The sequence below is a fragment of the Homo sapiens genome, chromosome 2 (assembly GCF_000001405.40).
Source record: "Homo sapiens chromosome 2, GRCh38.p14 Primary Assembly".
NCBI lineage: Eukaryota > Metazoa > Chordata > Mammalia > Primates > Hominidae > Homo > Homo sapiens.
In genome coordinates this window covers 229,243,776-229,271,515 of record NC_000002.12, presented here as the reverse complement: position 1 = coordinate 229,271,515, position 27,740 = coordinate 229,243,776, and the positions used below count along the sequence as shown (strand labels likewise).

Genomic DNA, 27,740 nt, shown 5'->3' with positions numbered 1-27,740 from the left:
CCCCAACCCAATGGGGGCTTCCTGCAGGGAAGGGCCGGCTGTTCTAGCCTCCCCATTCACCCCTCACTAGGATTTAGAGTCGGCCGCGCTGCACTCCCGCCCCGCGCGGCCCCTGGGCGCCCGCCCCGGGCATGCTCAGAGCGCGCAGGTCCGGGCGGCGGCGGCGGGGGAGGAGGGAGCGGCCGCCCCCGCCGCCGCCGCGCGCTCGCCGGGCCCGGGCGGAGCTGCGCAGTCCTCTCGCAGCTGCGCCAGGACAGCCGGCGCGCGGCCGTGCCCACAAGTTGCCGGCAGCTGAGCGCCGCGCCTCCTCCTGCTCGCAGCCCCCTACGCCCACCCGGCGGCGGTGGCCAGCGCCAGGACGCACATCCCGCGGACACCGACCCCAGATGTAAAGCGGGACCCCAGCCCCTCGCCCCCCGGCGCGATCGACAGTCTCGCCAGCGTCTCCTCTGCCAAAACCCAGGGCTGGAAGATGTGGCAGCCGGCCACGGAGCGCCTGCAGGTAAGGGGCACCCGGGAGCCGGGGGCCAGCCTGGAGGAGGAGGTGCCCGGGCAGAGGAACCTAGTTTTTGCTTCTGCCTACTTTAGGGGATTTGCCCAAAACCATCTTGTAAGACGCATCGATGGCAACATGATGCTGTCGGTTTACCCAGCGCCAGGAACCCGGCAGGGGTATGGGGATGATGAAATTGATAAACGCACGGGTTCAGGCGTTACAACTTTTGGCTTGGAGGTGCTTGTGTGCGTGTTGGTTGGTACATATAAGGTTGGACTTTCTGACTGGCAATTTAGATTGCATTCCACTGACACAATGCAGTGGTCTGGGGTTAGGATTTTTGAAGCCAGATTTTTTTTTTTTTTTTTTTTTTTTTGTGGTCACCAGGAAAGACAGAACAAGTGATATGTGAAAGCATCCATTTGCCAATATAATGTGGAAATATCAAGCTTGGTTTGGCTTGGTCATGGTATGCTACTTATTTTATTTTTCCCTATTCATTGGTTCTCTCCCTTTATCTTCCTTAAACCCAAGCTCCTTCAGATATTTAAGAATCAAAAGTAGGTTCAGCCAGGAATATTTATGTCCTGGGTTATCCCATCAAAAGTTTTTTACTGCTGTCTCCTGAAATGCCAGACTGCCTTGAATTGGATTCTGGAAGCTGGGGATTTGCGGGAGGCGATTGAAGAGAAAGAGGGACCTTTCCCAGAAGAACTCCTTCAGTGACACGTTGGGCCTTGGGATTGCCCTGGTTGCAAGGTTTGAGGACTGCCTTTTGCTGGCAAATATTGTCAAGAGTCACGGCAGCTACTCTGCCAGATAAAATCCACTGAATCCTGCAGTTAAACTTTTGGCAAGCTAGGAGCCACATTGTTTCGTAGTAAACTTTGAAGACGTGTTTAACTGGTAAAATACAGCACCATTGGAGGCTGAGTGCATCTGAAGACTTAGGACAATGAGGCCAGGCCCTGGCTAGGTTGGAGGCTTCTCAATGAACATTTACAGCCCCAAGCACAGTTTCTCAGATGCAGGGAGAGGCTAACCTTTGTCTAGGAGTCCTCATACAGAGGAACAACCCGCAGAGGGCATTGCATTTAGCAGAAACAGATGCCCCACAGCTCCTTTCCAAAGCTCCCTGGGCCATGATTTGCGGGGAGTGTGTTCAATTTATCAGAGCCTGAGACACCAGACCAGTTCCCCAGGGTCTCAAGTAGAATAAACAAGAAAACCTGCATTTAGCCTTGCAGATGAGGAGGTGGATGACCAACCTCCTAACCCCCTCCTTGTCTTACTAAGAGAATATCAGCACTGGGCTCTGAATGACTGATAGAAGGTGATGTAAATATATTTTGGCAGTGGCACCAGATACCAGTGGCGCATTTGAAGTTCTCCTTCGGTTAAAGGCGTAACTTCTATTCCAAAGGAGCAGAATGATTGAGGGGAGCTGGCAGGTTTCCTGTTCAAGTGCAGAGGGTAGCTTTTGGAAGTCCTTAGAGAGATGTGACCAAAATTCCTTGAGGTGGCTTTTATGGCCTGATGATCTGTACCTCTGAAGAGTTTGTAGATTTTTGACTATTCAAGTTCTTCCTACCGGCCTGTTTCACTTAGGGAATCCTGTGCGCTCTGGAGCATGTGACCCTTGGCAGGTGGGCGCTCTCGCTTGCCTTCCCATAGAGATTGCTCCTCACTAGAAATGTCTCCCCCTTATTTTGTGAAATGTGCACGTGTGCATTTTGGCGTGAGCCTGGTTTATTGCAGTTGGTGTTTGCAATGCGTTTATTTTATTTCAAGGTGTCATGTTGAAAGAACCTGTTTTTAGGCTTTTGAAAGCTCATATAAACAGGGCTTATCACCAATAAGACCGAGTCACTGTTGGAAGGTCCTTACCAACAGGGGGCTCAACTTCATGCTGCCCAAATTTCGATGAGTCTCTTTTGAAAGTACATACATCTCAAGCCTTGAGATTAGAGAAGTGAGACAAATGCGGAAAAATTTTTTTATATCCGTGGCTTCTTCCCAAAGAGTATTGCTTGACTCTCCTTGAAAACACATAATTTATATGTTTTTACTTTTGCCTCTGAGAGAGCTGTTGAGGATGAGATGGTGAGTGAGCTGCTTATCATATTTTATTTACATTCCTTGTGGTTATCTTTGTCACAATCTCTGTTTGCTGTCTGGGGTTTTTTCCTTTTCTTTTCCTTTCACCGTGATATAGAAACATGCCTGTCCGATTCCTCAGTGAGAAGCCACTTTGCCACTCCCAGGCTCTGTGGCCACAGAGATAGCAGTGGATATCATGCTGGATAGGAAACTTGAGAATGAGTTCTGCTCTTTAATGATGTCTGAGCTCCATGTGCCTTTCACAAATCTTTATAAACCTTCTCATTCGACCTCATTAATTTTTTTCTCATTTATCTTTAATACAAACATTCTAATTTAGATGAGCCAGAGTGAAGAAAATTCGTCAAGGAAACATTCCCAGAACTTCCTAATAGGACTAAGGAGTCAATTTATTTTATCAATACCTAGAATCAAAAGAGGGGATGGAAGAAAATAACCAGACCCTTTCTTGATGATATAGTTCATATTCGATGAAGCTGGTTTGAGAAGTCTGTGTCCCAGGGGAGTGTGATAGATCTTTGCGTAGAACAGTCACCCTCTAAATAATGGACTTTTGAGTGTAGCAACTGGCTCCGTTGCTCAGGAAATGGCATCTTTGATCAGGTTTGATTATCATTATTGTTACCCACACTTCTGTGTCCCCACAAAATGATGCTGATATTTTCTGATTTGAGGTTTAGCTGTTTGACCCAAATCCAGCACAGGCAAAGGGACCTATTGCCCTGAGCAGAGCTGCGCTGGGTAATTTCTCATTCAGTCACACAAACCGAGGCAAGTTCATCTGCTCCCTTGAATGTTAAAACTTCTATTGCATCCCACTCGAGCCCTCGCTGGGAGCTTCTGCCATTAAAAATATAATAGGATCAAAAGGGATGTGAAGATTTAATTTACCACCCCAACTTTTTACAGTGAATAAATATGAATTCTTCTCTTTTCACCTTCCCGTCTGCACAGCAGACTTTTTTTTTTTCTTGGAGGTATTGAGGAGTGTTATACATTTTTAAAGAAGCAGATTTGAAACAGACTCCTTTCAGAAAAGTAAAGGAGACTTTTCTGAACAAATAAAAACCCTACTGGTTTTTATGAAATAGAGATGAGATTACCTCTGGCCTTGAAATTTTAAAATTTGTATGAGTTTCTGGATTGACTTGATGATTGTACTGGGTGGATCCCTCAGAAGTAACAAACCCATCCATGCAAGACTGTGTCCCATCCATAGGAACAAGTATTTTCTCAGAGCAAATGTCTTCACTGAGCTACCAGATGCATTTTCTGGAGGCCTTGATAGGAGGAGAAAGATGAATCAAGACTGACTTAGAAACGAAGGAGGTCAACACATCCTTAAAGGTCTTTGGTGTAGTTATTACTAGGATAGAGTGGAATGTGATAGGCGTATGAGTTCTAGCAGATTCTAATTGTGAAGTTTACATGTAACCATCTTCTCATGAGGCATTCTATAAAGGTTCCAATATAATCATCTAGCTGTCTTCACTGAGATTACCATTTCTCCATGGCAGATTCAGAAAAAACAGCTTTTTATTCACAAAGCTGGATTTGAGTTTTGCAGCCTGGGCAATTTTTTCTGTTCCATCCATTACTTCCTTTTTCATCCTCGTTGTGGCCAATGTCTGTGTACTAGCACTTCCACAAGAGGGAGAAACACAGTGAAGAGTAGGGAGGACCCCAGATCCTGAAAAAGCTTTCTTTTGGTTTCTTCTGAAACTTTTGGTTGATGAAGTGGTTGAAGTTTCCAGCTAAATACTATTTGGGGATTTTAGGAGCCAAAGTCCTCCTCTGAGGATTATCTCACCCTTTCTCTGCCTTGTCCTATCTGGTAGATGTTGTCTTGACTTGGAGTGTGGATCGTTCTAGATTTTTCTTCTCTATGATGATGCCACTTTCACTTTTCCCCTGAGAAGTGAGACTGGAGAACCCTCTAAAACGTCAACTGGAGACCATTAGCCCTGGCCCATCAGGCAGGGTGAAAACCGGCAAATCTGATACTTTTCCAGGCTGACCAAATTGACAAAAGGAGCAAGGATTAAGAATGGGAAGATACTAGTAACCTGCTTTTGTGGTGCAGGCACTGTGTGTGGCACTGTGCCGAGGAGCTTTATTTTAACTATCTGGCTCATTTGCATCCTGTAACCACTTTTATCCGCATTTTAGAGAGAAACTGAAGGCCAGAGAGTCGAAGTGATTTGGCCAGCGTTGAGCAGCTAGAAATGAACTGAGCTGGAGTTTGAACCAGACAGTTTGGTTCCAATCCTTACTTCTTAAGCACTTCACCATAGTGCAGAAGGATAAGACAGGCACAGTGCAATGTACATGTTGGTGCTGTTGTTATTAATAAATACAGTTAGAGCAATGACTGTTTTGTGGGCTCAGAGAGGCTGCTGTCCTATTTCTTGCTGAAGCAGTGGGTTGACCAAAGGCTACTCTGTTTTTGGTGGCTCAAATCTTTGGTGGCACATAAGCTGCTGTCTCCTATTGAAGTTAAAATTCACAAGTGCCATTGAAGAGCTTTTCAGCTGAAGCACATAGCATTTATCCAAACTAGAGACCTTGAAAGCCGGTGATTAGGGTGGATTGTGTACACATTCATTCCAAGTTTAGACAAAAAAAAAATGGGGAGAAGGAGGGAGGAGGTTGGAGATTTTCAGAGCGGTTGCTTAGAAAAAAGCAACAGCTATTATTACAGAGGCACAGGTTTCTCACTAAACCCATTCTAGATTTTGTTGTTGTTTTCATCAATTGTAGTTGAGTAAGCACAAAACATCGGGCCCTATTGTTCATAAAGAAAACTAGGAGTTGTCATTAATCCGGGGCCTTAGTCTCCCTCAGGAATAAAATGCTATCTTACATCATTGAGTCTTTCTCCAAGTTTGTCAGCAAATCTCTTTCAAGCGATTTGCAAAATCCTAGCCTGGGAACAAACTCTGTGCCCCTTGCTTAACCATGGCCTAATGGCTGTTTCGTGTTGACTGTACTGAGTTATCTTGGAGTGTTAGGCAACTTTTGCATTTTGTTTGATGTTCCAGATTAGGTCCCTCCCATACCAATACCCCTCCACACTGACCCCATTCTACCATGAAAATTAGCCTTGGAGGAGACTCTGGGAGAATCAGCCTTACAGCTTCAAGGGTACTGGAGATCAGGCTGCCTTCTACAAGGTATTTTATTCTGTGAATAGCAGCAGTTCAGGGACTTGTTAGTGGTCAGGAAATAAAACTAGTCCAGAACACTCAATGACTGCAGTGTGCTTCTTTCAGCCCTGTGGACACAAATTTAAACAGAGGCTTTATATAAGTAGAGCAAGAAGAAATAGTTGAGTCGTTTGTCCAAAGACCTCCTTAAAGTCTAGTGGAATTAGTCTACTGTCATTTTGTGTTCACTTAAAAAAAAAGTTGTGATCCCTATTTAGCTGCTAATCAGTGATAAAGCATCAGTGTATTCACCAGGTCCAACCCTTGAGGCCAAAGACTGCAAAAGGAAGGTGTCAGGGAAAAGACACAGACTTGTTTTGTGACTGGCATATTTCAATGCTTCCAGCATCTTGACATGCTCTTCCACTTAATGCTGATGCCACGTGGATCAATAATCTGGCTGAGGTCTTCTTTCCCATGCCTGATGGCCCAGGATTCCTCTGCCCTCTTATGTTTCAACCGAGTTCTTACTTTGATAAGGGAGGCTCCAGTAATGGCCTTCTTAGCCAGGTTGTTTCCTGAATAAGAAATCATTTGGGTAAAAAAAAAATAACGAAAAAAAAGCATATCTGTCTCTTTATAAATAATTTTGACACAATCGCTTACTAGCAATGTTTCAGTTTTGTAACTTCTCTGAGCTTTGCTTTCCCTATCTGTAAAATAGAGAGATGTGCTTTGCAGAGATTTTGGTATGTAGCGTATAGTAGGTGCTCAATAAACAGAAGCACTTCTTAATGTTGTTATGGTTGGTCACTGTAGGAATGGAGTGTTGAGTTTAGATCTAAGCTCCTGTCTTCTCTTCTGTCCATCTTTCTTGTCCATCTACTACGTCCCAAGTACTATGCTGGGTGTGGGTGAAGGGTGAGAAGAAGGGCATAGTTGTAAACTTAGAGGACTCACGGTCCTATTCCTTATTGTTCAAAGTTGGACTTAATATATATTTCCTAGTATGATTGTAACTTTCAGTGTTTCTGTTCATATGAAGAAGATCCCTAGCTAGCTCAGCTTTATAAGCCAGAACCAGTATGTTAATGACCTGCTCACTGTCCACTTGTCTCTGTCTCCTCACTTGGGGAAGCTCCTTTTATTCTCAATGTATAGGAAAGTGCGACGCACAGAATGCAATTGTCTTTACAGTTGGGGGTGAAGATGATGGAGGTTCATATATGATAGTGGGTGTTAGGGTATGGGTGAGCTGGGCTGGGACTTGGGGGCCACATACCTTGTGGCCCTTGATCACTTGGGTCCCTGTTTTAGAGAGGCCTGGGTGTGACTATCCTGAAAATGGTCTGAGTTGACATACCTCTTATATCTCCTTTAGTTTCTGCCAGGCGGTGGTCTCCAGGTCAGGATGAAGTGTTAGTTCTCTCATGTTATAAATGTAGTAAGGGAAGTCGTGCTGAAGTTGACTATTGGGAAATTTCATGTATACTACTGAGTTGAGAGTCCACTCCTCCAAAAGAAATTTTAGATAAGTGAAGCCGTTCTAGAAGCCATCAAATGCATGTTTGCTCCCAACTATCCACAGCTAGAAGGTTATATAGCGTGGCAAGTATTCTCAAACAGGGCACAGAGAAGGGGTGCTGTGGTCAGGGTCCCAGAAGCAACATTTCCTTCCACTCCAGCAGTGCTGCTAGCAGACTCTCATTTAATTGGGTTTTATTGGTGATTTTTACTTTTCCAGCCATACTCATTTCCAAGTATGGAGAAAATCAAGAAATGTCAGCTACCATTCATTGCAGGCTTATTTAGTAGTAGTGTCAGTAATAATAACAATAGCAGCCACCTTTTTCTTAGTATTTACTGTGTTCCCAGCACTGACCTGTCCTCCCAACAGCCTTTGGCAGTAGAGCTGGGGTTCATAGCCAGCAGACTGGTTGTAGGGTCTGCACTCCTAAGCACTGTGCCTCTTGTGTCATGGAGCAGACATTTTGTTTTATATGAAAAGCATATTTAATCCTTGAGAAAATTCTAAGGGACAGAGATTTTGTTGTCTCATTTTTCTGGATGATGTAACAATTCTCCAGAGACTACAGATAACTTTTGCTTGAGTTCATTAACTACACATCTTCCATCTCACCTTTTTCTCTGCAGATGAAGCCCCAGCTTGTTCAGGCAGCAGATGGTCATACCTTGGCCTGAGGGTGGGTGTTCTAGCCCAGCCATGATAATAATCTCATACTGGTCCAAGGATTGTCAGAGACCAGTTTTTAACCATTGGGATATGAGAGGATATCTACTAAAGATACTTTACCTTCATGAATAACAAATAAAGCTTCTTGGGGAAATAGCCTTTTCCTCCTTTTCTGTCTTCTTGCTGTCCTGAGCATAGATGTGATGTCTAGCATTGCAGCAGCCATATTGTGATTCTGCAGCAATACATGACAAGCCTTAAAACCAGTCCACTAAGAAGGCTAGCATGATAAGATGGAAGGACTTGGATCAGTAAGCAGCACCTGAACCTACCTCCTAACAAAAGTTATATGAGAAAAATGTGACCCCCTTTCATTTGTTTATGCCCATATGTGAATTGGGACTTCTGTTACATGTATCTTTGACATTCCTAACCAACACAGCTACTAAGGGACCAAAATTCAGATTCAAACCCAAGCCTCCATATGTTATTCATTGTTGAAGGTTGAATTGTGTTCCCCTAAAAGATGTGTTGAAGTCTTAACCCCTGGTACCTGTGAATGTAGCTTTATTTGGAAATAAGGTTTGTGCAGATGTAAGCAAGTTAAGATGAGGTCATATTGAATTAGGGTGAACCCTAGAGCCAATGACTAATGTCCTTATAAGGAGAGATTTGCAGACACAGAAGCGGCACAGAGAAGGCCATTGTGAAGATCAAGGCAGAAACCGGAGTTATGGCATCATAAGCCAAGGAATGCCAAGGATTGCTGGCAACCACCTGATGTTAGAAGAGTCGAGGACATGTTCTTCTCCAGAGCTTTTGGATGGTGTGTGGCCCTGCCAACCTTTACATTTTGGACTTCCAGCCTCCGAAATGGTGAGAGATTAAATTTCTGTTGTTTTAAGCTACCCAGTTTATGGTTATTTGTTACAACAGCCCTAGGTAGCTACTACACCAGTGAAACCATATAGCCTCTTGACTATGTTTGGTCACTCTACTTCTGTGATGTAGGTATCCCCAACTTTCACATACTGCGACACAATGCATGTGTCTATAAGGAATCCTTTTTTTAATACCGAGTGTGAGTTTATCTACTGTGGATTAAAAAAAAAATGAAAACAGCAAACAACTAAGCTATTGCTTCTTTCTCCTTTATTTCCTTCTGGTGGACAACATCCTAGGAAAAGGCAGCAAACCTTGAGTGTAACATGTGCTGTGTTGCTCAGGGAAGGTCCTCTGGAAAATATGGTACATGAGCTTCAGGCCTGAAGATGGTTCGCTTTGGAGATGAAACTTATGGGCTGGAATGTGAAACACAGTTACTTTGAGGTGGACCTCAGTGAAACTTTTCCAGACAGGCTGAGACCAAGGGAAGACTAGTATTAAGGATTTTATCCTCAAAACAAACTAGGTTGTCAGAGTCCCTGTAGGCTCTCTGGGTAGCAGCCTCTGTGATTTGCCTCTTCCTGACTAGGAAAACCTGTAAGCTGACAAAGAAGTATATTTAAATTGACCTCCAGGTGAGCCTCATGGTATGTCAGGTTGATTATTTGTACCTGGTTTGGTGTTTTGTTTTGTTTTTTACTTGATAACTGTATAAATTATTTTAGTGAAGAGCCTGTTCTTATTCTGGAACTCACTTTGAAGACAAAAAAAAAAAAAGTCAGCCATGTCATAATACTTATTTTCTTGGGCAAGCTTGTCTTTTTTTGATACAGCCAGGAAGGCACAAATGTTTCCAGTCCCTCTGAGACGAAGGCAGGGAGCCTGTCCAACTGCAGAACTGCTCTGTCAGTGTCTCTTTCTGAGAGTGAAGAGTCATTCTGGTCTTAAAATGCTGTTTTGCTTTTCATTCTCTTCTCTAGAAGGAATATCCCCTGTGTCCATGGGAGCAGGAGGGGAATGGACAGTTACCAGGGGAAAGGAGCTGCATAATTGTTAGATCCATCCTAATCCTTTCATGACAAACCTTTCCTCAGAGTTGCTTTATAGTTGTGGGTCTGAGAATAAATTCACAGATTCACCCACTGCATGCTTTGATGGTTTCACGTCAGGAATGGGCCTACTTTTCCTCAGGTGAGAGCGGAATCCTGCTGTACAAGCCACCTGTAATGTGGGCAGTGGCAACTGCTGTTTCCTTTCCAAGTCTTCTGAGGTTGTTTCCTAGTAAGTGAGCTGGAGGCTATGGGGCCTGGTCCTGGTGGTAGCTATTTTGCTTTTGGACATAAAATCTTGGTAGCTTAATGTATTTGTTCCTAGGGCTGCAATAGCAAAGTACCACAAACCGGGTGGTACTGGTACTGTGGGTTGTCCCGCAGTTCTGGAGACTGGAAGTCTGAAATCAGATGCTGGCAGGGTTAATTTGTCCTGAGGGCTGTGAGGGAGACACAGCTCCTGGCTTTCTCCTAGCTGCTGGTAGTTTACTGGCAACCTTTGGCATTCCTTAGCTTGTGGCATCATCACTCCAGTATTCATGTGATATTCTTCCTGTGTGTGTGTCTCTATGTCAAGATTTCCCCTGTTTATAAGAAAACCAGTCATATTGGGTTAGTGGTTGAGCCCACCTTACTGACCAAATAAAGTCACATGTCGAGGTACTACGGGTTAGGATTTCAACATGTACATTTTAGAGGGACACAATTTAATCTATAATAGTGTGGAATTTTCTTTTGGGTATCTACCAGTCACCAAGATATTTATCCCTACTTGACCAGCCACCAAAAAAAAAAAAAAAAAAAAAATGGCAATCAGAATTTTCTCTACATCTGCTCCATGTCATGTCTACTACTTTCTTGATTGTAAAAAATTACAAAATAATGTCTGCTTAGGGTAGCAAATCAGTCAGTTTAGAAGTATGTAAAGAAGTTAGTAATTTTGTGCCTTTTCCAATTCCCAATTCTACCCATGAAGGAAACCCATGGTTTCCTTCTATCTAGTGGTTATTTTTCCACATACTTTCCCCAGGCTTTTGCAAGTGTATACATATGTGTAAACACATGTTTAATTTTTCTCATGAATTTCAATTATATATATGTATATATATACACACACACACATGCACATATATATACATATATACATATATATATATATATGCAACTTTTTAAAAAATTCTACTTTACTGTGTTTTGTGGGTATCTTTTCTGGTCAATATATGTAGACCCAACTCATTCCTTTTAGCACCTGTGTAGAATTTTGTGGTGAAGCTGGACTATAATTTATTTACTCATTCCCCCATTCCCTCTTGAGGGAGTATTTAGGTTGTGTTCATGTTCTGTTTTTTTTCCCTATAAATAATACTGCTATAAATTTTTGTGTCTATCCTGACCTACTGGTGCCTGTATTTCTTTAGGCTGAACTGCCAAAATTGATATGGCTGAGTCAGAGTATACATGTTTTAAATTTCAGCAGCTGTCAATGAGGGCTTTTATTGAGAGTTATGCTTTTTGATCAGAAATATATATTATTTTGACAAAGGTGCAGAGAAGATAGTTCACTAGTGTCTTAGTCTGCTTGGGGGCTGCTGTAACAAATTCCTTAGACTGAGTAGCTTAGAAACTACAGACATTAGTTTCTCATGGTTCTTAAAGCTGTAAGTCCAAGATAAAGATGCCAGCAGATTCAGTGTCTGGGGAAGGCCTGTTTCTGATTCATAGAAATGGTGCCTTCACGCTGTGTCCTCACATAAGGTAAGGGCTGGATGAGCTCTCTTAGGCCTATTTTGTAAGGGCACTAATCCCATTCATGAAGGCTACACTCCTATGACCTCCCCAAAGGTTTCATCTCCTCATACCATTACCTTGGGCATTAGGATTCTAACATATGAGTCTAGACCATAGCGACTGAAGAAAGGATAATAGTGTTTTCAACAAATGATGCTGGAACAATTGGATATTCATATACAAAATGACAGTGAAAACATCAACAAACCCAGATACTTCAATCCATTCATCATGCCATTTACAAAAATTAACTCAAAATGGGTCATAAATCTAAATATAAAACCTAAAGTTATAAAACTTCTGGACAAAAACAGCAGAAAATCTTTGTGCCTTTGTGTGTATCTGTGTAAACATTACTGCAATCAAGATGATGAACATATTCATTACATCCCAGAGTTTCTCTGGGTTGGGCAGAGATTCCTTAGAACAATGACAAAAATGCAATCAACAAAGAAAAAATTGGACTTTATCAAAATTAAAAACTTCTGCCCTTTAAAAGATATGGATAAAAGAATGAAAAGGTAAGATTCAGGCTGGGAGAAAATACTTGCATCTCATGTATATATTAAAGGATTTAGATCTAGGATAAATAAACTGTCAAAACTGAATAATAAGAAAGAGAATCCAATTTTTAAAAACCAGGAAAAGATTTGAACTAAGAAGGTCTATACCTGGCCTGAAAAGATGTTCAATGTCATTAGTCATTAGGTAAATGTGAATTAAAATCATAATGAGGTATCACTACACAGTTATTAGAACTACTGAAAAAAAAAAAAAAACTACGACCTTGCTAACTGTTGATGAGAATGTGGAAAAACAGGAACTTTCATACGCTACTGGTGGGAAGGTAAAATGATTTATTCAGATCAGTAGTTACCTGAGGATGGACTTGGAGGGAGGGGCCTGAAAGGGGATTGGGGTAAGTTTTGGGGTTGACGGATTTGTTCAACATCTTTTTTTTTTTTTTTTTTTTTTGAGACGGAGTCTCGCTTTGTCGCCCAGGCTGGAGTGCAGTGGCGCCATCTCAGCTCACTGCAAGCTCCGCCTCCTGGGTTCACGCCGTTCTCCTGCCTCAGCCTCCCGAGTAGCTGGGACTACAGGCGCCCGCCACTACGTAGGCCCGGCTAATTTTTTGTATTTTTAGTAGAGACGGGGTTTCACCGTGTTAGCCAGGATCAACATCTTGATTATGTGATGGATTCATGGGTTTATACATACATTGAAAACAAATCAAATTGTGCAGCTTATTATCTGTCAACTATATCTATACAGAGCTGTTAAAAATGTGTATGTGAAATCCTCATTATTTGCCAGGCATAGTGCTAGATGTTGGGAGAACTAAACAATACACTGTTTCTGTTCTCACTCCTGAGAATTTTTCATTTCCTTTTTACTGGAAATAAAAATTCTAACCCAGAATATAAATAATGAACTCTATAATTTTTCTTGGCGTTCTCTTCTTTTAAAACATTTCTTCATTTAGTTCTTGAAATGACATTTTTCATCCATCTCAGTTTGCCTAGGGATCTTAGTCAAACTAGTGGTTGAGCAAGAGAACAAATCCAGACCAAAGGGTGGAAAGTTCACGTTGCCTTGTTGATTCTTCCTCATTCTGGATGGCCCTGTTTCTCGTTCATGCTCCTAGTTCATGCATTTTTCTCCTGTTTCTAGCATGTTGGTGTTCCAGCTGACTCTCCCATCTGGCTCAGTCCTCTGAGACCTTTTCCAGCCCTGTATCACAGTGCCTGGCTCCAGCCTCCATGGCCAGTAGACTCAGGAGATATTGCTGTTGAAAGGGTAAATTTCTGGGATGTGGCCCCTATGACTGGCTGGGCTGCCTTCTTGTTATTTTTCCTCCCGTGACAGAAAGCAAAGAGCAAATCCATCATGCAAAACCATTAGTGGGTCTTGATTCTAGTTTGTGGATTAAAGTAATGTGTGTAGCAGACGTAGGGTCTGGATTCCTTGTGAGGCAATTGTTTTTCTCAGGAATATGGCAACTGAAAACTAGACAGGATGGAATAACTTCACTAGTGGCAACTGACCCTCAGTAAAAAGCTAATGAGAAACATTCACAAAATGACTTTAACCTAGTAGTTTAAAAACATTTTGCCCCTCAAGGAGGAAAATTTGAGACATTCAACTCAACCTCCTTTAAGGTCAAGGGTAAGGAATATAAGACTTTGTTCAATAAATAGGTAAGGAAACGATGTGGCATATTGTCCAGTCTGGGGCTCTGTCGAGGTGATGAATGCATTGTAAATTAAACTGGAACAGCAGGCATAAACCGAGAATCCCCTGTCAACCTGTACGTGTGGTTATCCTGAGACAGCAAGTAAACTACTGTACTTCTGCTTCTAACTCTATTTTGAGGGTGAAGGAAAGAAATGAAATACATTGAAGTGAGGGACATCACGTGGACAGGAAAGCCAGGAAGAGGGGACAGGAGAGTCGGAGGGGCAAAGGATGTGCACACAAAGAAAGAGAGAGAAATGGTAGGCTAGAGGAAGTCACACGAGCAGTTAGCACTGTCCCTGGCACATGAATGCTCCACCATAATTATCTATAAGATATGGAATGCAGTGGTTGGATACTAATACATTATTACTTGGAGCCAAGACATCACATGCTCACCCTGCTCAGGTGTTGAATGCTTTGGTGGATTATCTGACTCAGTTGGAAAAACAATGCCCTTTAGAGGAAGAGCTTGGACACTTTGAGGGATCATAAAAGCAGATCTAAAGCCACAGGGGTGAGCAGTTTGGGGGAAATGGGGATAATGAGAATATTTCTTTAGATTACAAGTCAGACCACTTGTAACCCATTCAGACTGTTAAACAGTGGAAAGACCATGGGTTTTTAAATTAGGCACCCATAGTTACAAATCTTGGCTGCTTCACTTATTAGGAGTTATTTCAGAGCCTCTGATATGTATTTTGTGTTTGTATTTTCTCAACTTAAAAATAAGGATAATATTATAACACTTAGCTCCTGGTTGCCGTGAATGTTAATTGAGATATGGACTACAAAGAGCGTAGCTTAGTATCCGGCACATCTTTGGGAGTCAGATAAATACTAATATCTTCCCCTATTTCAGATCCAAGGGTACCCTAGGAATAAAAGCATAGAACTTTACAGCCATGTGAATAATAGAGGTTTGCTGTTTCCCAAAGTGTGTCCCATGAATTCAGTGTGTTGCTCATAAGTCTTGCCACAGAAGTTTCAGTCTTTAAATAATTTGGGGAAGCCTTAGATGAAACAAAGTCAGGCTGATTACTTAGTGCAAGACTTCTTGTAGCATTTAAGATGCCAGTGCCCTGGGAGTTTCCAAGTGAAGGAAGAAGACAGCTTTAGCTCCTTTGTAAAGAAGCATTCCATTGTCCAGGGTGCTTCAATACTTGAACTCCTTTAGGTTGACAAACTGTGGGCCTGAGGTTTGGCTTTAGCTTGCAGAAATATTTCCTTCGGCTCCTTCAATATATAAAATCTTTACAAATTCATTTCCAGGGTTCGAAAATTAGAGGAATTTATAAGAAAATCTGGACTTCTTAATTCTTTTGAAAAACGTCAGATCACGGAGGGCTTGAATTTTCAAATAGCGACCACTGAGCAGCTGCTGTTCCATCTGGATGGAATGTGGCCTCCAGCTGGTTCTGAGCTTTCCTTGGTGCATCTCACTGAGTCACCCAGCTTGCTGAGCCCTGTGGATACTTGAATTGGGGACACCAATGTAGTTCAGCTCCTTCATTTGGCCAATGTAAAAGCTGCCTCTCAAGTTCACCTTGTGTTGGAAACAGAACCAGGTCCTTGGTCTTCTGACTCTTAAAGGCCAAGGTGGTAACTGATTTTACTTGTTTAGCACCATTCATTGCTCTCCAAGTACAGCTCTCGCAGCCCACCTGCAGGTGCATGGAGGCCAACTTCTGTCCCCTCTATTTTGAGAGCTGTGCGATGGAGTTTTCATGATTGGAGTGGGGAGCCATGGTCATTGCTTGTCTCCTGGGTAAACCAAGGCATAGAAACTAGAAGTGTTGGGGCTTATCCTATTTTCTAATCCAGAGCATCTGGGAGGGGTTCCAGGCACAAGTGGGAGGCTTCTTCTACTTTTAACTAAATGCAGATCCCTGTTTCCTACATATCCCACGCCAGGCAACTAAAACTTCTCATTGTTATGATATTGGATTATTTTGGGGAATTTTACTGCCAAACATTGGAAGAGATTACTTCCAAAAATGGAGGACATGTAGAGGGTGGAGAATAATTTTTTAATTTAATGGATTTCAACATATTCCTCACAGATTATCAGCCAATGGAAGACCCATTCAAATGCCATTTCAGAAAACCCAAACTGAAAAACATCCATAATGGTGGTAATACCTCTCTATTTAGAGAATCTCCGTTCCCACCAAAAAACACTCAAAAGCACTTTGCAGACATTTTACTGGTCATCTTGGGAGCAAACTTACTGCTGCTTTCATTTACTTTGCTGAGTGTGGAACCCATCTGCTTAACGCTACCCATTTCCTGCAGTTACAGGATTCTGATGATTTTTAGCATAAACATACTTGGAATCGACTCACACAGTGGCTTGAGCTATAGAACAATGAATTAGATCTCCCACCCTCAACCCATCTACTTGATTCATGAAAGCACGGATGCTGTGTGCATTCCAGTCCCTGAGATATCCATCATCCATCTGAGTTGGATGAGGCTATTATAGACTTGAGACAGTTGTCTATTGCTCTCCATTTGACCCCCTTCCCGTAAAAAGTGAACTCTATTGATAACTATTTGAAAAAATATTGCACACTCTAATCACATTGAGATTTAGTGTGCATACTCTCTCTCCTCGAATCTGTTTTTCCTGTAGCACCTTTTAAACCCAGAAATTCATCTGAAATAGTTTCTGCTGCAGAAGCTTATTATTTCTGCAGTAGCAGAAAATGAAAGGGATGGTGCTGCCCACAGAATATAAAAGTCCTGGCCAAACTACAAACTCAGAAAATACAAATATACATTAGACCCCTATATAGTTCTGAAAAGGTTGGCTTTTGGTTAGTAAGGGAAAACAATTCACATGCTTTTGAAGTACTTGTCAATAAAAGAGAAACATATCATTTAAACATTAAAACATACCATTTAAACATAAAACCCCTTGAACACCAGTCATATAATGAAAGGAGGAATTTAGTTGTGCCTGAAAACCTAGACTAGAATTATAACCAAGGTCATAACTCGGCCTAAAACTTTTAGGTCTGAGCTTCCTAGCAGCCCGAGGAAAAAGAGAAACATGATTAGTTACTTAACCTTCATGGCCTAATAGAAGAATGTATATTGGCTCATCTGGAGCCCTGACGTTTTTCTAACTTGAAGGCCCTGGAATTTATCATGTGGTTCTTTATATGGGACATTGTAACGCAGACTTGGGTAATAGCATTAGTTGTAGTTTTTGCCAAAGTTGTCCCTAGAAGTTGAAAAAATAAACAGTTCAATAGGAATGCTAAGACTGTTTATGTAGAAGCAGAAGTGGACATCTGTGTTTTGTTTTTGTTTTTGTTTTTTTGTTCAGCTTCATTTCCCATCTTCTGGTAACAATACCCTGATTTTGCTTTGGGGAACTATTCTATCCCTCTTCAGTAGGGAGACTCCATTCAATTTTGGAGGTTTTTTTGTTGTTGTTGTTCGTAATGAATGTGCCATTCTTTAGCCACGGGGACTATGTGTGACCCAAACTAGATTGATTAGACACTTTCTCCCGGGAGTTGGAATCCTCAGCAGGGTGACAAAAAGACAAAGTAGTCATAGCTGACAATGCTGGCAACCATTTCCGAAGAAGGTCTGTCGTCCTGCTGCCCAGACCCTGGTAGTGGCTCTATCCCTCTCCTTTCTGAGCTGTATCCTCTCCCTCTCCTTTCAATTCAGTGTTACTCCAATATTTTTTCTTTCTGCTTAAGTCAGCCAGAGTTGGTGTCTGTTGCTTGCAACCATAGAACTGAATGATATACAGGTAACATTTCCCTTGAACCAATTGATGTTCAGTCTTCAAATTCTGTTTCACAAAAGGTGATATGTGGGGCAGAGCATATGTCTGGGGAAAAGTGAAGGAGCCATGCTTGAAAGCTCTGTAAAATACCAGAAACCTATGGACGCACAGTGTCCTTGTATATGGGTACCCTTCCGTGTAAAAACTGTGCATGCTTAACTGGGAGATGGAGAAAGGGTGCAATTTTTTTTTTTTTTTTTTTGCTTGGAATTTCTTTTAAGCACATACCCTTACTTTATTAAGTGACTTTGAATGAAGATAATCCTCATTTTACCGTAGTACTGGCCCACAGCTTCCAGGTTCTGGCCCATCTTTGGAGAAAGGTTTTTTGGTCCTTGTTGTTTATAAGGGTGTAGTCCTGCTATTGGCATCTCCTATAAATCTTAAGATTTTTATAACTTGGATGTCACTCTCACCTTCCTGCCAAATTGCTGCACTGAAAAAGCAGAGTGTCATTTTAAGTAATGATGCTTTTACTGCATCCAAAACAAATAAAGTAATTTTGGTACACATTATGAAACAAATCCCTCTTATCTCTGAGCCTAGAGTGGAAATAGTGTCAGGGATGCAAATAGCTGCTTTGGCCAAAATAGTCAAAGAAGACATGGCCTTAGTCTGTCTGAGCTTCATTTCTTAAGAAACATTTGTAGTTGTTGGTTAAAAATGTGAATGGCTCTGTAAGTTCACTCTAGGACAATGTGGATTCTTTAGCCCAGAAAGTTAAATACCTCCAACTTTGGCAGTCCTGACCTTCTGGGTAGAGAATATAGTTCCCCAGTTTTCAAGACCTGCTTTGCTACTTTGATTTAACACAAGGCAGAAATCTTCAAAACAAAGCCCTCTGGATCCAGGAAAGTTCATCTGGCATTAGTTAGCTTGGCACCCCCTACCCCCTTCCCCACCCACCTCCTTGTCTTTTCTCTAGGAACTTGATGCTTTGTAGGAAATGAATGGCTTTGCAAAAGTGCAAATTTGGGGAAGTGTTGTGCAACCAAAGAAATTCAAATTAGTATTCCCCTTGTGGGAATCTTCTTGGAGAAATTATATTAAAATATTCAGGTATAGAGTACAGCCAATATCTGTTTTAGGAAGTTGACAGACTGAGTGATACAGCTCAGGGGTTTTCTGGAAGTAAGGCAGGCTAGGGAAAGAAGAATACAGAGTTTAAAAAACCTACTAATTTATGTCTCCTCTCTACTCTGTTAATGGTAAATAGCTCAAGCTCAATGCTGATCTCTTTACTCCTTGACCCAGACAATTGGCATTTTTCTTCATAATGTAATTCAATGCCCTTGCTGAACAGGAGCTGGCCCATGAGATATGTATTTGCTCTGCACTGGAAAGGATGTGTGCTGGCACGTCCTAGGAGTAGGCAAGCAGTTGATGAAACTTAGAGGGAGTCTTTTGGAAATCAAAATTAATTTGCATTTACAGGGATCCCAACTTTGCAAGTAAGGTGGAATTGCTCTGTTATTTGTGACCACATCTGTGTTTTCTGCCCCCAAATTAAAAACACAAAAACAAAAACAACTTTCTTCCTTTCTTGCTTCTCTCTTCCTCCTTTCCCTATAATTAATGGGAGTGAAGTTCTTTCCATTCCTGATTTCTTTGAACTCTCTTGCTAACTGCTGAGCCTTTTAGACACTTTTTTATGGCTTTCCCAAGGGGCCATCACCACCTCTCCTTTCTTCCATCTTCCTTTTTCAGTGGCTGTAAGCTCTTGGTGGGCTGGAAGACACAAATGAATTGGACAAAAACAAATTTGGCTGTTGCTTCAAAGCCATTGCATTCTTTGTGTGTTTTTTTTTCTTTCTTTTTTTTAAGCTTTTCTTTTTTTTTTTTTTTTTTTAGCTTATGGTTAAGAGGGCATTATCTTTGCATTAGATGGCCATCAAAACTTATTTATTGGGTTATAGATGAAGAGAACGAATGGACTTATTTCGATCCAAGGACTGGAAGAAATGGACATATTGTTGATTTCTTGTAAAATGCACTGAATGTCTACCTCAGAACTTTAGCAGATGCCTGCTTCTGCTAATTTAAGGAACTGATGCTATTTGTCTTTTTAATTTTACATAGGAAATTTAATTTTGATTTGAAGCTTTTAATGCCTAATGGTAAATATGAAAATGTGTGATAGAGCAAATTATTTTTCATCTCTTGCATTTCTTCGTGTATCTCACACTCAGGGGAATTTTTATGTAGCATAACGATTTCATAAGTGTTAACATTTAAGAAAATTTTCACATTATAAATATGAGCAGAAGCCTGCTTTAGAAATTGGAAACCAAGTTTGGCCAAAATGAAAGGCAAAGTCATGGCTATGTTAAAACTCACATCTTGGGGAGTTCTGGGTGGTATACTGACAGTGGAATAGACTCAGATACAGTGCTTTTAGTATTGATTAGTAATTCTTGACCAACGGATCTTGGAACTCAAGAGGGCCATGGAATTACTTCCAGGCCACTGTTAACTTTCTGTGCATTCTACATTTCCTATACACTGAAAAAAAAAAAAATACAGTACCTTGCAAATATTTCAATTACTTTTCAAATCTTGTGTGCTTTATTAAAAGAAATACTTATTTGAAATCATTATTGATTCACAGTGGCTTTTGGACTTTAAGTGCATTTTCAGTCCTTGAGCATCAAAGTACTATGTGTGGGTCGGCAACATTTTGGATGTAAAAAGGATGGTGATACTTGAAAGATTTGGGCACTCTTGAATTGATTGATGGAGATTACTGTAGGGTAAAAGTGCACTGACTGTGATTTGGATTTGTCACAGTGCTTCTCCTCGTGTTAATTTCCCATAGTCTTTACTTTCAGCAAATGTTGACTGATCTTTTGTTTTTGAGTGAGGAGCCAAACTGAGTTTTAAGGTGGGTATAAAGAAGAGGTCCCTGTGCTCAAGAAGGTTTCAATCAGTTAAATGCCGGGTAGATCCATGTTACTACAGGGGAAACTTCCATCCTAAGACGCTGTAAAGGGCAAAGATGAGGGTCTTCATCATCATTGGGTTTTTATTAGGTAAACAAAAGCTTCCCCTCGAGTCCTACCCAGAAGGATACTAACACCTCAGGGATGAGAACTGTGACATGTGCCCAAATATTTGCTTGGGAAAGAAAATATTTTAACTGGGCACTTTTTTGCCCCCAACCAAATCGGAGTTCTGTCAATAAGGAAAACGAGAAAATTGGCAGCATCATACCAGCCACCTCTACCACAGGTGCTGAGTTTAAAATAATGGCAGATGTGGAAGATGCGATATCCCCAGATGCTGTGAACTTTTTTATTTGCCGTAGAACCTTTGTGCTTTTTTCCTGTGGTTTGGTGCAATAATGCTGAAAGCAACACAGTCCTCTGATTTGAACAGTCAGTTGATACTGGGTCTGATATGGTATCAGATGGTTTTCTAGCCCATCTTTAAATAAAAGCATTTTGTCCAATGGCATGTGTTGAAAACTGCCAAGAGTCCTAAGAAAGAAAGACTCTTTTTTGTGATTAAAAAAATTGCATCTGAGTACTCAGAAGTTGGGAATTTTTATGTTTGTTTGGACAGATGCTGTTTGGATAATTTTCTATTTGGGAAAATATCATTTGGTTTATACCTTCTTTTCCTTTTATTTCATTTTTCTGCAGTCTTTTTCACATTGGATGTGAGCAGATTGTAGGGAACAAAGCCAAATTAACTCAAATATCAGTGATTAGGTGAAACAATTTCCCTTCACTTTCTGTAGTTAGTGTTTATAAAAAAGTGCCTTTATCGGATGCTAAGGAGTTGCTTTGATGCTTTGGTTCAAGCTCTTAAACCATCTTCTTCATCTCTCTCTACATCCTTCCATACATTCCAGACCATCTTCCACAGTTGTGTGTTTTGATGTTTGATGCTTTTGCTAATGTTGTTTCGTAACTTTGAAATATCCTTTTCTGTCAGCCGCCTGCTCTGCCTGGGGGATCATACTCCTGTCAGCCGCCTGCCCTGCCCAGGGGATCATACTCCTGTCAGCCACCTGCCCTGCCTGGGGGATCATACTCCTGTCATAGCAGTTGAAGTTGCCCCTCTTCTGCCAAAGTCTTTCCTGGTATCCAGTTGCAATGAGTCATCCCTTTCTTCTGGGTGTCCACAGTTTGTTCTTCTGCTTCAGTTATACCATTCAGCTCATTCTTGTTTTTCTTTTTATTGGAATTATGTGTGGACTTCTATCTTCCAAAAGCCTAGAAGCTGAGGGCTGGGTCTTTGTTCATCTTTGTGTGCCCCATTGCACATGGAATAATACTTGGAATACAAGGCCGGCAACACCATACAAGCTCAGTGAATATATTTATGTCATGCTTCAATAAACTAATGATATTTTATAATTTATTTTTTGTCATCTCTCTTAATTTCTGTGGATGGAAAGGTAAGAGATAGAGTGGCATAATGAGCATGCTAAGAGAAGAATTTTACTTTTGTGTTGAGAGAGGTATTTTTCTTACATTTATCTTTAGAGCCACATGTTAATGGGGGAAAATGCACAATTCTATGTGTTTATATTAAACTTTTTTGAAATGTGTTCTGGATTTTCTTGACATTTAAATAAAGATATTATACATTGCAGATAGCTTGTACCCAAGTTATTTCTACTTACTATTAGGGACATTCCCTTTGTTATATTTAATTTCAGGAATGCAAGAGATGGCAATAGTTGGAGCTATTCATAAATGGCAATTAATTAAAAATATAAAACATAGAATCTGTCTTGTTCAGAGTTGCATCTGTTTTCTGGTGGGCTTTCAGATGGGGGAGAAAGTTTTAGGTTGCTTTTCCTTGTGTAAAACAAAGTGAGCTCCATTTGAGCATCATCAAGAAAGCCAGAGGTCTCTAAGATTCCTAAACACATTATCTGTTGTTGTAGAAAGCAAGGAAGTGCTCAGAAAAAAAAAGTTATTTCAACATGACACAGAAGGCCCCTTGGCTTTCATTGGACAAATTTAGTACACCTCAAAATAAATAACAGCTTTTGAGGATTTTAGCACTTTAAAAAAAAATAAGTCTATGAGTTCATACTAATATAAACTGATTTAAACAAAGGAATAAGCAAACAAATAAATAGATAAGAAAGGTAAGCTCTTCCTTACAATAAAATGTTACCTAATAAATAAAGCAGGGATGATGGAGTTAGAAAATCACCATTTTCAATCATCATAATAATATTTAATCCAGGCAAGAATCATTAGTGATTATAAAACTAGTGTGTGAATGTTTTATGTGGGACAGGTTATTTATAGAATCTCAAAGTATCTCACCAGACACTATCAGTTGACTACAGGAAAATGCTAACTTTCCACTGGAAAAGTCCAATGGAAGAAATTAACTTAGACAAAGAATCAAAGTTAGCATCACCCATAATGAGGCAAACCATGATCGTCTGCCTCCTGATACAACGCACTGAGAAGGCTCACTCGCATCATATTCCTGTTCCAGGAGCATGTATTCTCTAAAACAACTGTCTCAGGCTCTTCAAAAATATCAGTACCATGAAAGAGAAAAAAAGGCTAAGAAACTGGTCCAGATTGAGTAGACATGACAACCCAGTGCAGTACATGATCTTGAATTTGATCCTGGACCAGGAAAAACATTAGTATAAATGACTTCACTGAGTTAGTTGGTGACATAATTTTACTATGGTTAGGCAAGAGAATGTTCTTGTTCTTAGGAAATATATACTGATATATTTAGGGATGAAGGGGAAATAGCGTCTGTATCTTACTCTCAAATGCATGTGGGTAAAGGGAGGAAAAAGGTAAGGAAAGGGAAGAGAGAGAAGGAAGGATGAGGAGGATGAGAAGGAAGAGGAGTAGTAAGAGAAGGAGGTGGGAGAAAGTGAATAAGTGAGAATGACAATATATAATAAAGCAAATGTGATAAAGTGTTGGTGGTTGGTAGATCTGATAAAGCTGTCTTATTCTTGCTGTGTTTTGGTATGTTGGAGGTTATTTCCAAGTAAACTGTTAAAGAAGAAGACATTATGCATGCGTGTTCATAAATGTCACTTCTAGTTGTTTTAGGGAGTGGTGGTCACTGAAGTGTCTGTGCCTAAAGGCAGGGGCTGTTCTCCAGTGCAGAGCCTAGTATCCGGCAAAAGTAGGTAGTTTCTAAATATCTTTTGGATGTTTGCATGGACCCCAAGGCCCTGAATTCCCTCGAGCTGTAAAATATTTATCTTCCAACCATTGCAAATGCCAATTGTAAAGAAATATTTTGCTATTTCCAAGTTCGCTTGCACTAGTTATGAGATGTTTTGCTATTTCCAAGTTCACTTGCGCTAGTCCTACAGCAATTTAGTTGTAGTTGGTGGGACATAAGCAGGGATATCTTACAGGCAGGATGCATGCATCTCTGCACTCTTCTTCCTGTAATCTGGCAGGAATATAAATGTGATGGTCATTTGAGAGGCCCTTTTAAGCCATGTGAGAGGAGCCATGTGCTAAGAACTGTAGAACATAAAGATGTGTGAGTTCTGGAGCTTTCATACTAGCCTTGGGCCTCTCACTCCAGGCTTTGTTTCTGTGTGAGAGATGGAAATGTCTATGTCCTTTAAACCAATGTTCTTTTGCTTTATCTTTCATTTGCAGCTGAAGCTAATCCTCAATGATACACCGTGCTTTCTAGAAATCATCATTGTTAAATTTTTGCTCCTCTATGGAGCTTTGTATTCAGTTTGCCCCATATGCACATTAATGATAGAAGTTTTCTGGTTTTATTTATATTCCCTTTCTGTTTTCCCTGAGTAGAATTTTTCTTATTGTGATGTGGATTCTGTTTCTGTACTTGAGTTGGTGGGTCATTGTCTGTGGCTTTGGTTATTTTTACTGCTGAGGCTACCTTACTTTTTTTCCATCATGATAAACCTTCTCCATTTTGCAAATTGCTAAATTGGTCTGAAAAGATTGTGAGAACTGGCTTTCTTAGGCGACTTCTTGTGCTGACCAACCCAGCTGGAGACCGGATGTGCAGAGGTAAGCACTTGGAATAATCAGAAAATAGGAAATTTTAACTATTCCCAGTTGCCAGAGACATTTTGCTTCAGTTGAAGGATTGGAGGCAGGTTTTTATAATGCTGGCCTTGCCTAGTGAGTTTTGTTGAGCAAATCTTTGTACTTTTTGGAATCCACTCATGTTTTTATTTGTTCCGTGGATGGTTCTTCCTCTGCAACTATTTATTGCCACTAAAGTTTGCGGCACAGTCAGTCCCACAGATAATAAATGGGTGTGTGTGCCCACAGCTCAACATGAATAGAGTGACTGACTTCCAGCTTGTTTATTGTTAGACGGGTATGTAACCAAGGAAGCCTAACTCTTCAATTATGTGTATGTGTGTTTCTGTGTAGTGAAATATGGGCCTGAAAATGGACCTTGCAGGGATATTGCATGATATTCCATTATTTCCTTTACAGCAATTATTTTTCAAATGTTACGTGAATGAGGATGGTATTTACTTGCATAATTTCATAGTTATGTTATTTCATGACCTGAATGCCAGCAGCTCCGCAGTTTGAAGCATCATTTCCTTCTGGTAGGCTGGCTGTATTGGCTCCCTGGCTAATATGAATTTGAAAGATAATTGATAATTACCTAAATGTAAAGCATTGCATTTGGAACTGCTGTGGGTGAGGTCTTCCAACTTTTTAAACTCTAACTAGCCTAGACAGGAATCAGCGATTGCTATTATATGCAAATTCTGTTTTTATTTCTACAGAAAAGAGAAGAAATAACTCTTATTTGTTCAGGTTTACCAAAGAAGTACCTGTCACAATTTGGTCTGCAAAATGAAACAAACAGAGCACGAAAAACAGCCCAACAACCAACGAAACTACAGCCAAAATGAAGGATGCAGGATAAAACATGACTTAAACATTCCCTTGGCCTAAGTGAACGTGGTATAATGGGAACAGGGTAGAACTAGGAATTGGGAAATTTTCAGGGAAGTTTTAGCCCTACTAAGTACTGTCTTTATAACTTTGGGCAAGTTACACAAACTTCTGAGCCTCAATTTCCCCATTCAGCAAAATGAGTCTAATAAAATCTACCTCATTAGCTTCTTCTGAGTGTGAAATGAGATAATATATGTAAAAATGTTTCATAAACTATAAAATACGTTCAAGTATTTTTTATCAGTCTGCTGATAAAAGGTGTGGCATAGCTGCCCCAGACCCCCAGTGCTAATTGTCTTGGTAAGCAGCACTGTAATTTGCACTCTAAGTAATAGTAAGTGTTAAGAATTTGTAAGAATTTTTAATGTAATGTGCACAAATCTATTCTGATTAAAACAAGTAGCATCTTCATACCTTCAGGATTATAATTGTTGTTAGTAAAGGCTGATGAGAGGGAAGGAAAGTAGGCAAGGCAATACAAGTTGCCTTTTTCACTTGAACTTGGGAATGAGGAGTAAGAAGCACTTGAGCTTATATCCACCACTGCATCTTTTACCAGGAGGCTTGGAGTGTTACAAGAAGCATCATTTTCATCTTGGCCTTGTTTGGGAGTAGGGAGGCACATGGCCAAGAGACAAGCTTTATGAAGTCATGTGCTCCAAAGGGAACACAGGAAAAAGGGAGTGCAAGAGACTTAGTCATGCAGAAGAGTTTCACACAACAGGTGGGCTTTTAAGAGTGTTGTCAAGGAGAAGATGCAAATGCCTTAATTAGTTTGGACAGCTCTTTTAAGTGTAAAGAAAAACATGTCTACTGGTGGAGATGGGCTTTGCAACACAACAGACCTGTGTGTGCGATTTTGATCTTAGGCAACTGAAAAGCAAGTAACGCTCCCTTTCTATTACCTGAAGCTTCTGCTTATGGAGTTTTGAAGTTCTCCAGGATGGTTTTTCTATTTCTCTGAGCACTGAAGTGGCTAATGCCATGGCAGATGTCATACCTAATGCTGCAGAGGCAGAGCATAAGGTAGGGAGGATTTTGTAGGAACCTTCTGATGGGAATCCAGAGAGCAAAGCCTGGGACATGAAGCTCTCAATAAGGAAATGGGAAAGGAAGAGTCCATGGTTTTACTTTTAACAAAGTAGGGAATTGCTTTTGCAGATTAGATAATATGTGAGGATTGTGGCAATAGAAGAGGTATCTTGTGTTTGTAATAAATGCATTATTTGGGGGGTTACAAAATAAAATCCCAAAAGAGGAGAAGATAATTAACTTTCTTATGAGAGGTTACCTAATTTTGACTGAGTTGAAAGGAAGAAAAATTAAAGGATTTTAAAGGATTGAATCTCTCTTTCTGTCTCATTTGCTTTCTCTCTTTTTAAAATGAAATGGTTGGCAGAGTTGGAATTTTGGAAAATAGGGTCATGAATATTTGTTGATGAAAACAGTCATGCTTAGTAGCTTTGAGGGGACTCCCTATAGACAGACTTGATTCCTAGTTCTAGTTTTCACAGCTGGTTGCAGTTGTTTGGATGACGATAAGAATCAGGGATACTTGGTTCTGTATTTGGAAAAAATGAAACCAGACTGCTTAAAAATTTGACTGGAAAAAGGCTACTGGGTATGGGGTTCTTTTGGACTATGCTGACTGCTTAACAAGGGATCCTGGTTTGTCTTGTGTCACATTAAAATCCCATGTCTCATTGAAATAGTGGTTAAATGAGGTTGCATGAGTTTTCAGTTGAGAACTAAAAAATAACATATTTTGTTTACATAATGCTAGTTTTTGCTTTATTCTTATGTTTATATTAGAAATGAGTAATTTAGTCCCAGAGAAATTACACGTGGGGCTTTCTGCCAAGACCCAGTGCCAAACATGAGTTTTGTGATTAAAGTATCCAATATTAACCTTTGCTTGACAAAAACCAAGATAAGATGATTTTTTAAAAAAACTTAGATGATCTGAAAAGAAAGCATTATAACAAAAATGTATGAGCTAGGAAAAGCTGAGAGTTACTAAATTGGGCTTTGAATGGTGTAGATGTAACTTTGTGTAAAAATACATGAGTTTCATTTCTCTTGGTATTGGAGGAATACAGATA

At 40.6% G+C, this 27,740-nt stretch overlaps 1 protein-coding gene across 6 annotated transcripts in view; it reads left to right on the top strand.

The window, feature by feature from the left end:
* Nucleotides 1-228: 228 nt before the first annotated feature.
* The window catches only part of PID1 (phosphotyrosine interaction domain containing 1), a 247,315-nt gene continuing 219,803 nt past the window's right edge, over nt 229-27,740 (top strand). For 3 of the 6 annotated variants that reach the window (NM_001330157.2, NM_001100818.2, NM_001330158.2), the window contains exon 1: nt 229-502. In NM_001330157.2, coding sequence (NP_001317086.1) covers nt 473-502 — 30 coding nt within the window. In that variant the 5' untranslated portion in view covers nt 229-472. Of the gene's footprint in view, nt 503-873; nt 5,791-8,622; nt 8,834-27,740 lie in introns of those variants that run through there. The other 3 variants (NM_017933.5, XM_017004404.2, XM_047444845.1) reach the window with 3 other exon arrangements.